Genomic DNA, 15,264 nt, shown 5'->3' on the forward strand with positions numbered 1-15,264 from the left:
TCAGACGGCATCTGAGGTCTATTCTTCAGCCCCACAGTATAGCCCAACCCCAGAGCACAAGTGACACCCTAGTGGACAGGAACTCCTCCCTACACTGGCTGCTCAGCAGGACCATGAAGAACAGCTGGGACCTGGCCTATTACCTTGGCTTCAGGATTCATTTTCTGCCTGGAATTGGGAAACTGGAGGCCCTGCAGGGGTCCTTCTCCTGGGTCCAACTGTCTCCAGGGTGCAAGAGGGGTGAAATTACCAAATGAAAGTTCAGATAAGCAATTACTGGCTGAAAGAGACACAGGAGGGTCTTCAGATCAACACTGACCCAGAGCTAATACCACACTGTCCTCAGAGGGACACACGATCACTGACCTGTATTCTTCACATTTAAGTTGCTAGAATTATTCCTCCTTGCCCCCACTCTCTCCCTGCCCCCAGCATACACATAATTACATAAAGACGTCTTAAACAACTGTAGCACCCAACTTCTTCAGTCTGGGGGAGAGCCAGGAGATGGTGGGGAGCTGTTTGGGCACACGTCTGATCATTACATAATCACACAAACATGGGCTGGAGAACACTGCCATGCAGATCAGTTCAGCAAACACCTCATTCTCCCTCTTTCCTCTTCCCTCCCCCCGTAACACCCAAAATGCACACCAGAGTTAACAAAACCGAAGCACTCCAGGTAGCCAGTGGGCACCTGGCTGCTGTGGTTACAATGCCAAGGGCTACCAGAAACGTCAGCGTATACCAGAAAGAGGGCCAGGGTGCTGCTCACCCAGCGACCAGATCTGCAGACCCTCTTCCTGCAACCACTGCCCCCGAAGTTCAAGGAAGGGCCTAGCCACAGAAATATTCCTGACCTGCAACAGAAACCAAACCAGCTACGTTAAAGGAAACCAATGCCGAGCCTCCAAGTTCCTCTGCACCACTGCCACACTCAGGAGTCCTCAGCAGCCTGGACAATATCATTAGGGACCATTCGGCACCATCAGTGTTTCCATTTAAAAGATAGTAAAATGTGGGGCATAACTTGGAGGGGACACTCTCTCTGCTAGCAGGGAGGCAAGAATCCCCTATAGAATAGGAGTTTGGTTTGGGTTTGGTTGGGTCAGGTTGGGGGTTGGGAAATGATTTTGCTTTAGGAATATTTTCAGGGGGCTAGGATTAAGGGGGAAAAAGAAAGCTATCCCCTCTGTCTCAGCAGCCAGCATCATACGAATCTCACTCTCAACCAAGCAGGCTACTGCAGTCCGCCTAAACAATCCGGAGCAGCAGCCAAGGCAGCACAAGAAAACGCCGGTGCCACGGAACGCGATGCCTAAGCCCCCCAGCCGAGGCTCCTATGGAGCCGGCCGCCAGTGCGCGGGTGCAGAGCCCAGCAGAGCCTGCTGCAAGCAGCGCTGGAGCGCACGGCGCGCATAGGGTTACAGCCCCGCCGCCGCCGCCGCCGCCGCCGCCTGTGATTGACGCGCGGGGGTCACTTGAGGCTCGCGCCGCTCCCCAGCACCAGGCCGAGCAGCGCGCTCAGCCCACCGGGGGCACTGGCCGCCACGCGCAGCCCACCCGGCCGGCCCCTGCGTCTCGGCAGCCGGACACCTTGCCTAAGAAAGGCATACACAAAATGGAATCGCAGCTCGCTATTCTGCTTCGCGGTGCGGCCTCAGGCAAAAACACAATCACAAGGTAAAATACAGCGCAAGGAATCCATCCGCCGAATAAAAACCCAGAGTCCCCTACCTTCGGCCTTGGGATGGCAAACTGGTCCTGTGTTCTCTGACCCACGGATCCAGCCCCTTCTTCATGAATTATTCCGGCCAGGCAGGATTTTGTGCATTTTTTTCATGAACACCTGTTTCAAGTAAGGGGTAAAGACCTTATTGAAAGAATTGTCCTTAAAAAATAACCTGTGCATACGTATGTCCATCCAGGCATGCATGCGTGTTTGTATACACACATATGCACACGGAATAGCCATGTACATTGAAGCACCAAACTAGGCAGCTGGATAATGGGAGAGTCGGCTGGTTGTGAGCATGCTCGCGCCGGGAACAGATCCACCCTCTGTTATTCCTCTGAATAAATATAAATCACGATCAGAAACCCAAACAGAAGCATCCCTCTTGAATTCGTGCTGCTGAAAAACACGGAATAAATTCAGCCTGCAGACACAGAATCTAATCAGCAGCTGTTTTCTGAATCCAGAGCCAACCCATGCCTCGCTTGTCTTTTCCACTAGGAGTCCAGACCTTTTTTGAAAGGGGGTTTAACCTTTTAAAGACACAGTACACCAATTATCACTTCGGAATAGCTGTCACTCCCAGCGCAGGAAGCCAGTCCCATGCCTAAAGGCACAGTAGGCTTGCACACAGTGATAAGGATTTCATTTATTGGTGCTTTTTAAAAAACAACATATATGTATAATATATGTGCATATATATGCACATATATATGCACACATATTATATATATATACGTGGAGAGAAAAAATGCAAATGCAAGTCATAAATATTTATTGCACTGATGAGCTTCTCAGTACTAATTGGCACGTTATGTAAACACTATGATCCTTCACTTCTGAACACCCATGTTCACGGGTCAGACGAGACAGGGCACTCTTGTCAGCAAGCGTGTCACACCTCACCAGCCTCTGGCTGCAGATCAGGGGCCGGGGAGCCTCAACAGTGCCTGAAGGGAGTGGGGTCTCTGCACCTGAGAGCTCAACACGGGCACTCCTTGCCCTGCCCTGCCTTGCTCTGCAGTCTCAGGGTCCATGTCCACAAATCAAAGAATAGTTCTGGCACTATTTCTAAAGTCGAACATAATCCAGAGCCACATCGCATTCCAAGACATACTTTCTTTCAACCAGAATCAGGAATCAGAACTACCACCTGAACCTTAGTTAGAGTCTTTACGATTCAGACTTAGGCCCTTCTTCAAGATTTTGTTATTGAGTTCTGTTGTTTTGTTTTTCACTTTTCTTTTAAGGGTCAGCATGGAGGTATGGAGGTAGAAAAACAGGGTAGGGGGAGAGACAACCTCCAGCCTAAATTTTTTTGAAAAAAATTATTCTTCGAGTACTTCAGCCACCCAGATGGTGTTTACTGCAGTTTTGTTCTGGCTTTTAAAGAGGTAGCGCTGAGAAGAAACAAGAGTCCTAACCTTGCTCACGTGTGTTAAGAAGGCAAATGTCTTTGACAGTTTCTTTTTCACCCCAGCCCCAGAGCTCCAGCATGGCGCTGTCTGCTCCTCCGCTGGTTCCCGCCTAAGAGCAGCGGCAGTGGCTCACCTCGGGAGCTACAGGGGCGCTCCTACAGCCGCTCCAGCATCACAGCCCATTCCCTCCCTTGCCTAGTCCTGCCAGGCAAACCGTGAAAACAAGTGCACTGTCACCCTCCCACCTCATCACAGGCGCTCCTGTGTGGACCCCTCCCAGCGACACACACACACTCTCTTCCTTCCCCTCTTCCAGGGCCCTTTGGCAGAAAATTATCATATTTCATGTGTCATCGCCCAAGCAAGCTGGGTCCATCACTGATTGGCTGGGCCCTGGCAGCCGGAAATGTCACCAGCCACACAGCGTGGAGCTGGCTCTCCCGCGGCCACCACAGACCTGAGCCCAGGAGGCTCTGTGACAAGGCACAGACCTACCACAGAGAGCCTGTCACTCTCTCCCTGGTCCAGCCCCTGCCCCCTGCTTCTCCATCTACCCAGCCCCCCGGGGAATAGGGGCTGCGAGGGGATGGTGAAGGAGTCTCAGTGACATTCCTATTTTCCCAGCATGTTTGAGAAGAAACTAAAGATGTCTCCAATCAGGTTTATAAATTTGGAGAACTTGTTTTTGACAAAAACATTCTGTCTTCACACTAAAAAAAAATCAGTAAGACTGGGTGAAAACAAGATGGTTTTTTTTTTTTTGTTTTGTTTTTTACCCCAGGAGAGTTTACTAGATGCTGCTGTTTATTTCCCATCTAACATCTCAGGCACCAAGGTATAATCATGTCACAGGGCTGTCCGATAATTCAGAAGGTGATTCGAGTCCATCCTCTTACCTTTAAAGAGAACAGCTCCAGAAAATGAGGCTTTGTAACTTGGCTTTGCAATGTATCATGATGCCACACAACTTTTTAAGGGTTAAATGATCTTTGTAGTGACCAACATGAATCACTTCAGCTGTAATTTAATCTTAGTCCCTCCTGCTGTATCTTCAGCAGGCTTAGTGTGACTCACCATTTAAGTCTCACCTTATTCTGTTCTCCTGAGTAAACTAAACTCTATCTCTCTGTCCTTTTCAGTAAAAGTTTTTCTCAACCCTTTAATTATGCTGCTTTAAAGAAAAAGCCTCCCAGAGTTACATGAGTCTGGAAGGTCATTTGGTCCATCTATCCATATGATGTGTCAGAACTCTCCACTATTTCCATACGGGGGCTTTTGGTTTGGGGAATGGTAAATTCACTGGCAATGCTGGGAACCAGGGAAAGATGCCATCAATAAAGCAGACATTTTGAATAATATGGGAAGATACAAAGTAGATGGGACATGGGAGGAAAAACTAATTAGTACTGATAAACTCATGATTCTGCAAAGACCCTGATATGGTTTGGCTGTGTCCCCACCCAAATCTCATCTTGAATTGTAGTTCCCATAATCCCCACATGTCATGGGAAGGACCTGGTGGGAGGTAATTGAATCATGGAGGCAGGTTTTTCTCATGCTGTTCTTGTGATAGTGAATAAGTCTCATGAGATCTGATGGTTTTATAAAGGGTAGTTCCCTTGCACACGCTCTCTTGCCTGCCACCATGTAAGATGTGCCTCTGCTCCTCCTTCACCTCTGCCATGATTGTGTGGCTTCTCCAGCCATGTGGAACTGTGAGTCCATTAAACCTCTTTTTCTTTATAAATTGCCTGGTCTCAGGTATGTCTTTATTAGCAGTGTGAGAACCGACTAATACAGACCCCTAAGAAGTAACTGTACAGGTTTCCAGAAAACAGTCTTGGAAAATCCCAAACTCAGAGAATCAGGATTGGAGGAGAATCATAGGCAGCAGTTTAAAGGCAAATTAAGGGACATCAGGAACATGGTCAGTTTCTCCACACAGAATGGCTGGACACAGAAATAGGTCCACAGCTTCTTTGGAAAGTGAGAGGTTTGTTCCAAATATAATAGAAGCCAAAGGTTGAATAGGGGCAGGATATCAGCTCCTTTTGAAATGCCACTGCTCTTCCCCAAAAAGTGCGCACACACACACACCACACACACACACACCACATGCACACAAAAGAGATTTAAAAAATCAGATAAAATATAAGATATAACAGAGAGATCCAGAATATCCAATCAATATTAGCCTAATAGGAGTTCCAGATGGAGGCATCATTAATGAAGAAGAAATCAATAATCAAGGAAATAACAGAAGAACATTTCCTTAACCTGAAGAAAGTCTTTAGGCCTTAGATCAAATGCTGTGCTAGGCAGCAGGACTACTGAAAGAATACACACTTCCAGATGTACTCTGATACTCCAAGAGCAAAGACAAACAATGACAAGCTTCCTCATAAAGGAGAAAAATCAGGTTGCTTAAAAGGAAAGAAAATCAGACTAATACCATACTTCTCATCTGTAACACTATGCTAAAAGACACTGGTATAATTTCTGTAGAATTCTAAGGGAACATTATTACAATTTAAGAATTCTACCAGCTGCCAAACTATAATTTCTCTTATGCAATGAAAAAGAAAGGTATGTTCAAAGACACAGAAATTATATCACCCAAACACCCTTTATTAAAAAAAATTTAAGGTTACTTGAAGATCTCTTCCAGCTGAGGAACAAATAAGGCAGGATAACAAATTCAAGAAAGGAGAAGATATGTTATATAAAAAATGTAATGAATAAAGCCAACAAAATATGTGGTCAAATATAAAAATAATTGAGAATATAGTTGTAAAATTTAATTGTTAGAAGTCTTGAAAGATAAGAGTATAAGTACATTTATTCCAGATTTGAATTCACATCTATATCTATCTCTTACATATATGTGTCTGGAATTAAACTTCCATATAATTATAACAAAAAAATAGAAAATCTCAATGGAAACAGGTAAAAATCACTAAAAAAGGAAGAAGGAAGGAGGGAGGGAAGGAAGGAAGGAAGGAAAGGAAGGAAGGGAAGAGAGAGATAAAGAAAAGGAAAGAAAGAGAGGATTGTTATGGCAGGCCAATAATTCCATCTGTTTCCTCTTCTTCCCAAGACCACATTAAAATGAAAATAAGGATTTTTTTTAGGTTGAAATAGATGATGACAAAACAAAAACAGTAAAAGAGTCATTGATCAAAAAAATTCACAAAGAATAATAAAGGAGGACAATTCATCAGTTAGAAATATATACTTTAATGCTACAGTAAACAAAATGGTATAGTACAAATAAAGAAGCCTACAAAGTGGATTGATGGAAGTCAAGAAACAAATTTAGCTATAATGGTTACTACATGGTAGTTAAGTAATAAAAACTGAATTTTAAATCAGTGGAGGAAAGAATGTGTTATTCAATAAATAGTGTTGGACTGTGGCTATGTATTTGAAAAAATATAAGTTTTACCTCTAACTGATATCTTGTTAAAAATATATTCTATTTTCATATAGGAAATTCTGCCATTTGTGAAAACACGGATAAACCTAGAGGACATTATGTTAAGTGAATTAAGCCAGGCACAGAGAAACAAATACTGTGTGAGCTTACTTATAAGTGGGATCTTAAAAAGTCAAACTCATAGGAGTAGAGAGTAGAATGGTGGTACCAGAGGCTGGAGGAGGTGGCGGGGGGAAGGGAAAGGAGCAACATTGGCCAATGGGAACAAAGTTTCAGTTATATAGGAGGAATAAGTTCTGGTGCCCTACTGTACAGCATGGTGACTACAGTTAATAATAATAATGTCCTGTATATTTCAAAATAGCTAAAAGAGAAGATTTTAAACGTTCTCACCACAAAGAAAGGGTAAATATGAGGTGATTAATATGCTAATTAGCCTGATTTGGTCATTCCATAATGTACACTATGCATATATTGATACATCACATTGTACCCATAAATATATACAAGTGTTATCTGTCAATTAAAAATAAAATAAGGCTTTAAAAATATTCTATTTTCACATACACAAAAATTCCACAAGGGAAAGATAGGTGTTATGATTGACCAATACTGTAAATCATAGAATTCTATGAAGTTTTTTTTTCTAATAGTGGAAAGAAAAGCATGTGGTCATCCAGTCTATGCTTAGATACCATTGTGATAGGCTAATTACTGGCCCCCAAAGATATCTACCCCCTAATCCCTAGAAACTGAATTTCACCTTATATGGCAAAAGATGTGACTACGTTAATGATCTTGAGATGAGGAGAGATCCTGGATTATCCAGGAGGGCCCTAAATGAAATCACAAGTATCCTTATAGGACTGACGTAGGAGACGGGCTAGAGGGCAACGTGACTACAGCGGCTGAGATTGGAGTGATGCAGCCACAAGCCAAGGAATGCCAGAGGCCACCAGGAGCAGAAAGAGGTAGGAATGGATTCTCCCCTGAGCCTCCGGAGGGAGCATAGCCCTATCAATACCTTGATTTTGGATTTCTGGCCTCTAAAACTGTAAGCAGAGAAATGGGTTATTTTAAATAACTGAGTTTGTGGTCATTTGTTATGGCAGCCATAGAAAACTACAACCACCATGATGAGAAACATAGTACTTCCTAGGGACTATCATTATTATTATTGCCAACAACAATACTTACTATGTACCTGGTGCTGCTAAATTATTTATATATCTTACCTCACAAGTCACATGCAAGGAGATGGTAGAGAGTTGGAGTTGTTACGGCCCTACCACTTAGTAGCAAAATGTCCTTGGGCAAGTTATATAACCTCCTAACACTGACTTTTTCTCATCTATTAAGTAGAGGTAAGAAAGGTACCTACCCACTGGGGTTGTTGACGATAAAGTGAGACCATCTATGTAGAGTGCTTAGAACAATGCCTGGGAATAAAGGTTCCATAAATGATAAGTGATCATGAGAATGTCCTTATGCAGCTGTAGTCTCTGTTCCAGAGCTTTTTCTCACTGATTTTTGTTCTTCTCTTTGGGTACATACAAAACAAGGGTATCTCCAAACCACCTGAATGTCCTTCAAATATCTGAAGCCATTGATCAGGTCATTAAGAGTCTGAGCTTCTCTAGGCTAAAAGTAACCAATGCCTCCAATCATTATTGTTCTTAGAAATTCACCTGGAGTCCCTTCCCTAACTTGGTCACCTCCCCTGAACACATTCTTGTGCATCATAAGATGTGACTCCAGACTCACCACCATGCTTGTTCTAGAACAGAGGTCTGCAAACTACAGCCCTTCGTGCAGGCTAATTTTTACAGCCCATAAGCCAAGAATGGATCTGACATTTTTAAAGGATTGTAAAAACAAAACAAAACAAACAAAAAACAGAAAAGAATGTATGACAGAGACTATACGTGGCTTGCAAAGCCTAAAATACAACTGACCCTGAACAACTCAGGGGTTGGGGCTCTGACTTTTCATGCAGTCAAAAATTCATGTATAACTTTTGACTCCCCCAAAACTTAACTGCTAATAGCCTATTGCTACTGGAAGCCTTAGTGATACCATAAACAGTCAACACATATTTTGTACATTATATGTATTATATATTGTATACTGACAAGTAAGCTAGAGCAAAGAAAATATTAAGAAAAATCATAAGAGAAAACATATTTAATGTTTATTAAGTGGAAGTGAATCATCATAAAGGTCTTCATCCTTGTGGTCTTCACATTGAGTAGGCTGAGGAGGAGGAAGAAGAGGAAGAGTTGGTCTTGGTATCTCAGGGGTGGCAGAGGCATAAGAAAATCTGCATATAGTGGACCCGTACAGTTCAAGCTCATGTTGTTCAAGGGTCAAGTGTATTCACTATCTGGTCCTTTCAGCAAAAGCTTGCCAACTCCTGTTCTGGCAGATACTGTTCTTTTATCAATGCAATAGAATATTGCCCAAAACTTTTTGGCAATCAAATTGCATGACTGTACATACTGTCTTAACTGTAAGGCTGCAAATGTTTCTGTCAGTATCTATTCCCCTCTCCCCTTCTTAGTAATAAAATTCTTAGCTAGGAACATGGCTACCCAGCCAAAGACTACATTTCCCAGCCTGTCTTATAGGAAGGTGTGGCCAGAAGAACAGGTTCTAGCCAATGGGATGTAAACAGATGTGAAATGTATAATTTCCCAGCCATACTCTTAAAGGGAAGGATCATGCTTCCCTTCCTTTTTCCTTTTGCCATTGGCTGAAATGTGGACCTGATAGCCATGTGGATGAGTGGTGCAGAGCAACGAGATAGAAGGATCCTATCCCTGGTGCTGCCATTTCACCCTATACTGTTTATTCTCAATCTGTGAGAGGGAAATAATTGTTTAGCTTATTGAAGTCATTGTTCTATTAGGTCTTTGTGACAGCAACTGTATCTGTGCCCTAAGCCATACAACTATCATTTTCAACTCCCTCGTACTTTTTATATTTGCAGCTACCAAGCCACACACCTCCCCTGACCTGCACTCACACAGTTAATTTCCTGGACCCCACTACAAGACCTTACATTTAGCCCTATTATGTTTCATATTATTCGAATCAGCCCATCATTTTGCCCTGACATCTGGGATCTAATTCTGTCACTCAAACTAGCTTCTATCCTTTGTAATTTCACATCATTCTTCAAAAGGCACTTTATTTGTGGCACTCAAGCTAAACACAGTGCTCATCAAAACACCTGATCAATATTAAGTATAATGCAGTGGGGAGGCTATGACCTCAGTTTGTAGGGGAAGGAAATAGCAGATCAAAATAAGGTCCAAATGAAGTAGAAGGAGGAAAGGAAGGAGATGAGCAGTTATGGAGAGCTTACTATGTTCCAGTCACTGTGCTGGGAACTTCCCCCATCGTGAAGTTTTAGTGCCTTAAGTACCCCTATTAGTGCCTTAAGTGGAATAGTCATAAATTTGTGAACAAAGAAAGGAATATTAAGAGAAATTTTTAAAGTATGTTAGCTAAAGTTTCTTGCAGCCTGAAGGTCCTACTTGAGGTTGTGTATCAAAAACCCTATGGAGTTTTAGGGAAAATATGGATGCTTCCAAGTTGCTACAGGAGGGTCTTGGCATATGTATATCTTTAAGGCTCCATGGCTAACTCTGACAACCCTGATAAGCCACTGTGAGTTTCAGCTTTCTAGCACACTAGAAAGTTTGAGGCAGAGACTCTGCTCAGCTACCAGCTCCTGGAGTCTGACTCAGCTTTCTGTCTCAGGCGAGGATGTAGCCTTGTCAGGCTGTTTGGGTTCAAGAACCAGGAGAGTCTGATGTTGGTAAGAATTCCCTTCTAGGAAGTATTAAGCAAAGTGATTGGAGTATTTCCCTGAGTCTTGTAAGCTTCTAGTACAAAAGGAGTGTGGTGTAGCACAAATGAGTTTCTCTGATCTGGTGAGATCCTCCTTTGGGTACCCATTTGACATCTCCCAATTGGGCACCCTTGGGAGCCACCCAATCCTGCACTGAGACAGGCCACCTGGCTCCTGGTCAGTTTGTGTACTCTGGCTAAACAAACTCTGTATGTGTGTTTTGGGGGTGGGGTGGAGTTCTCTTGTGGCAACCCATAGACTACCCAAAAATGCTGCAAGACAAACATACCAAAGTCATCAAAAAGTCATTAAAGTCATGACTAGAGAATAGTGAATAAACACCCCAAATCACATGTAATTTATTACATTCACCTAGGGTAAAAAACTTATGTGCCTTCAGGGCCAATCAAATAACGTAAGTGTGCAAAGTAGCTTGGCATAAGCAAAAGAGAACTGGAGTGTTCATGCCTCTCTACATATCTACCTTTTAAAAATGAAAAAGCTGAAAGCTGTGTAGCTAAAAACAATTGGAATCAGAAGATGGACCACCAGTTTGCAACCCTTCTCCCCGATAATCACAGTCCACAAAAGCAAGGAGAAAAAAAACTTCATACCTCTCTTAGAAGGATAAAAGAATTATCTTTTAAAAACGGCTTGTAGGCAGGGCACAGTGGCTCACGCCTATAGTCCCAGCACTTTGGGAGGCAGAGGTGGGCAGATCACGAAGTCAGGAGTTCAAGACTAGCCTGGCCAACATGGTGAAACCCCGTCTCTACTAAAGATACAAAAAATTAGCCAGGCGTGGTGACGTGTGCCTATAATCCCAGCTACTCGGGAGGCTGAGGCAGGAGAATCGCTTGAACCCAGGAGGCGGAGGTTGCAGTCAGCCGAGATTGCAGCATTACACTCCTGCCTGGGTGACAGGGCGAGACTCCATCTCAAAAAAAAAAAAAAAAAAAAGGCTTGTAAAAGCATGTATTGCTTTTTAAAGCAATTTTTAAGAAACAGTTAAATAATATCCCTAAAAATAGGATGTCTTTAAATGAGTTGGGTCAGATGACCCTATTACAGTAATTCTCAAATTATAGTCCAAAGACTACAGTGGGTTACAGGAGTGCCCAGGTGGTATGCAAAATGTTCTTCCACAAGTCTCACTCACAGTCTAAAGTGTCCCTTATAGCACAGAGGATTCTTCATTTATTTCTTTCAGGGCTACTTCATCAGATGCTCTCCCTACTTTTTTTCTTTTTATTTTGAAATAATTTTAGACTTATAGAGGAATTGTAAAGATTGTACAAGTTCCCATACACCCTTTACCCAGTTTTCACTAACAGAAACATCTTACATAACCATAGTACAATTATTAAAACTAGGAAATTGAGATTGGTACAATAGTATTAATTGACCTACAGAATTTTCTCTAATGTTACCAGTTTTTCCACTGATGTCCTTTTTCATTCCAGGATTCAATTCAGGATCCCACATTGCATTTAGTTGACATTTCTCCTTGGTCTCCTCTGTTCTGTGACTATTCCTCAGTCTTTCCTTGTCTTTCTTGCCCTTGACCCTTTTGAAGAGTACTTGGCAGGTATTTTGTAGACAGTCCCTCAATTTGGGTTTGTCTGATGTTTTTTCGTGATTAAACTGGGATTGTGGAGTTTTGGCAAGAATGCCACAGAAATGATGCACCCTTCTCAGTGCATCAAACTGGGGAAGGGAGACATGCTGTTAATATGTCTTACTGGCTGGGTGAGGTGGCTCACATCTGTAATCCCAGAACTTTGGGAGGCTGAGGCAGGAGGATTGCTTGAGCAACTTAGTGAGACCTCACATTATCCCTTGGTTAAGGTGGTATCTGCCAGGTTTCTCCAATATGAAATTACTATTTTTCCCTTTGCAATTGATAAATATTGGGAGTCTCAAATACTTTGAGACTATGCACACACCATGTTTCTCAAACTTATACCCATTAGTTTAACAGCTATCAGGTGAACTGTCTGCAGCAACTATGACTGCAGTGTTCTAGGGGTGATTTTCTATTTCCTCCACTTCTCTCTATTTATTCACTGGAATTCTTCTGGTAAGGAAAAACTGTCCTTTTTCCCCATCAAATAATCAGTGTATTCAACTTTTATTTTTATCAAAACAGACTCATGGATAGTTATTTTATTCCTTCAGTTATAACCCAATATATCCTTACTTATTTTTTTGACCTAAATTGTTCCAGCTTTGGCCAATAAGAGCTTTTTCAGGTTGGTTCCTGTACTCTGCATATTCCCATTGTTGTTGTTGTTGTTCAGCACTTTCTTACTTTCTAGCACCAGAAGATGCTCCAGGCTCATCTTGTAGTTTGCCTACCCAGTCCTGGAGCCTATGTTTCCAAGAAGTCCTGGCTCCTTTTATTAAATAATAGCATTTAGAGACCAAGATTGGGGAACCTGATGTGCTCACTGCTACTGGGATGTCAGTGCTTTTAGTGCTACAGTGCTACAGGCCATCTCAGTAGACAGAGCTAGGAAACATATGTATGTATATTTATCCATGAATACACACCTATATTTCCGTATCTATCAGTGTATATGTGTGAGTGTGTGTATATGTGTTTTTATATATATATATATATATATATATATGTTTAAACATGAGTTAATACTGATACCTCTGACTCTAATCAAACACCATGGATTCATTCCATCATTCTGCTTTGCTTATTAGTAACTTCTTTCTCAGACAGACACCTGCGTCTTATTATCAATAATATATTTGCTTATCTGTTCATTCCTAGTATATATGTAAAATAGTTTTAGAATGGTTAACACATACCCCTGTGAAGGACAAATTTATCATGTAGAGTACAGTGTCTGTGTACAGTTATTTTTGTCTTTAGCCTTACAGAATTCCAAAGTTACTTAGGTCAGCTCCCTTCTTCCTCATCATCTTCAATGAATTTATGTTATACACGTGCAATGCAGTTAGATTCATTTGTCATATTCTGCATTACATCTTAGGTTCCTCAGTATCCTGATTGATTTTGTTCTTAATTTGCACACGGCAAAATTTACACTTTATGGTGTACAGATCTATGGGTTTGACAAATACATAGAGTTTTGTGCCATATAAAGCAGTTCCATCAGCCACAAAGTTACCTCATGTTGCTCCCTTGCAGTCAACTCCAACCCAAACCCCAACCCCTGGCAATGCATTTTCCATAAATGTAGTTTTGTCTTTTCTAAAGTATCCTATGGAATAGTAAAATATGAACTTTTTGGGTCTGGATTCTTTCACTTCGCAAAATGGATTTAAGATTCATCCATGATGTTGCATGAATTAATACTTGTGCCTTTTTACAGATGAATAGTGTTCCATTTTATGGATATATCACTTCTGTTCGCCTGTTGAAGACCATCTCAGTTGTGTCCAGTTTGGGTGTTTATGTGTAGAGTTGTTACAAATATTCATGTATGGGTTTCTAAGTGAACACAAAATTTCAATAACTTGAGTAAATACCAAGGAGTGGGATTGCCGGGTCATATAATAAGTATATCTTTAATTTTATAAGAAACTGCCAAACTACTTCGCAAAGTGGTTGTACCATTGTGCATTCTTAACAAGAACATGAAAGAGTTCCAGAGGCTCTGCATCCTTGCCAGCACACACTTAGTGTTGTCAGGTTTGTTTTTTCTTAACTGTAGCTATTCTAATTGATATGCATGATAGTTCATTGTGGTTTTAACTTTGATTTCCCTAATTAAAAATAATGTTAAGTGTCTCTTCATATGCTTATTTGCCATCATATGCTTTCTTTGGTAAAACATATGTTCAAATATTTTGCCCATTTTTTATAGAGTTGTTTACTTTCTTGCTGAAGCTTGAAAGTTCTTTATATATTCTGGATACAAGTCCTTCATTACATATATGATTGCAAATATTTTCTCACAATCTGTGGCTTGTCTTTTTATTCCCTTAACATTGTCTTTCACAGAGCAAAATTTTTATTTCAAGTTCAATTCATTAATGTTTCTTTTATTGATTGTGCTTTTAATGTTGTATCTAAAAACTCTTTGCCAAACCAAAGGTCATATTTTCTCCTGTGATTTTTTTTCTAGATGTATTGTAGTTTCATCTTTTACATTTAGATCTATGATCTTTTTCTCAGTTGTTTTTTAAGGTGTGAGGTAAGTGTTGAGGTTCATTTTCTTTCTTGCATATAGATATCCAACTGTTCCAACACCATTTGTTGAAAAGACTATCATTTCTTCACCCTTGTCAAAAATGAGGTGATTATATTTGTGTGGGTCTACCTCTGGGCTCTCAACTCTGTTCCACTGATTATTGTATCTATCATTTTGTCAACACTACACTTCCTTGATTATTATAACTTTGTAACAAGTCTCAAAATTGGGTACTGTCTGAGTCCTCCAACTTTGTGCTTTTTCAGATTTGTTTTCATGGGGACAAACTGACATCTTCCAATCCATGAATACAGTATCTGTATTTATTTTACTGTTCTTTAATTGCTTTCACCAGGATTTTCTAGATTTTAGCATACCTATCCTGAATATTGTTTTTGTTAGATTTATATCTAAGAATTTGTGGGTTTCGGTGCTACTGAAAAGGCTATTGCTCTCTAAATTTCAAAGTCCATATGTTCATTGCTAGCATGAAGAAATACAATTGACTTTGTATCTTGCAACCTTACTAAACTCACTTATTAGTCCTAGAAACTTTTTAATGATCCTTCGGGTTTTTCTACAAAGACAATAAAGTTACACGTGAAAAGACATTGTTTCCTTTCTTCCTTTTAAATCTTTTTGCCTTT

General features: G+C 41.1%; 1 protein-coding gene across 4 annotated transcripts in view, besides 2 other annotated features; it reads right to left on the reverse strand.

Annotated features, from left to right (window-relative positions):
• The window catches only part of HIVEP3 (HIVEP zinc finger 3), a 529,570-nt gene that overhangs the window by 410,311 nt on the left and 103,995 nt on the right, over window positions 1–15,264 (reverse strand). For 3 of the 4 annotated variants that reach the window (NR_038260.2, NM_001127714.3, NM_024503.5), the window contains exon 1: window positions 1,738–2,247. The gene's annotated coding sequence lies outside the window, so the exon portion shown is untranslated. Of the gene's footprint in view, window positions 1–1,737; window positions 2,248–15,264 lie in introns of those variants that run through there. The other variant, NR_038261.2, reaches the window with a different exon arrangement.
• Window positions 1,183–1,477: a silencer, noted in NCBI's record as "tiled region #8090; K562 Repressive non-DNase unmatched - State 20:ReprD". NCBI's record gives its function as "represses a minimal TATA promoter and a strong SV40 promoter by Sharpr-MPRA in K562 cells {active_cell/tissue: K562}" and the evidence as "EXISTENCE:reporter gene assay evidence [ECO:0000049][PMID:27701403]".
• Window positions 1,529–1,578: a silencer, noted in NCBI's record as "silent region_755". NCBI's record gives its function as "represses an Ori minimal core promoter by ATAC-STARR-seq in GM12878 lymphoblastoid cells {active_cell/tissue: GM12878}" and the evidence as "EXISTENCE:reporter gene assay evidence [ECO:0000049][PMID:35858748]".

The sequence above is a fragment of the Homo sapiens genome, chromosome 1, assembly GCF_000001405.40.
Source record: "Homo sapiens chromosome 1, GRCh38.p14 Primary Assembly".
Classification (NCBI taxonomy): domain Eukaryota; kingdom Metazoa; phylum Chordata; class Mammalia; order Primates; family Hominidae; genus Homo; species Homo sapiens.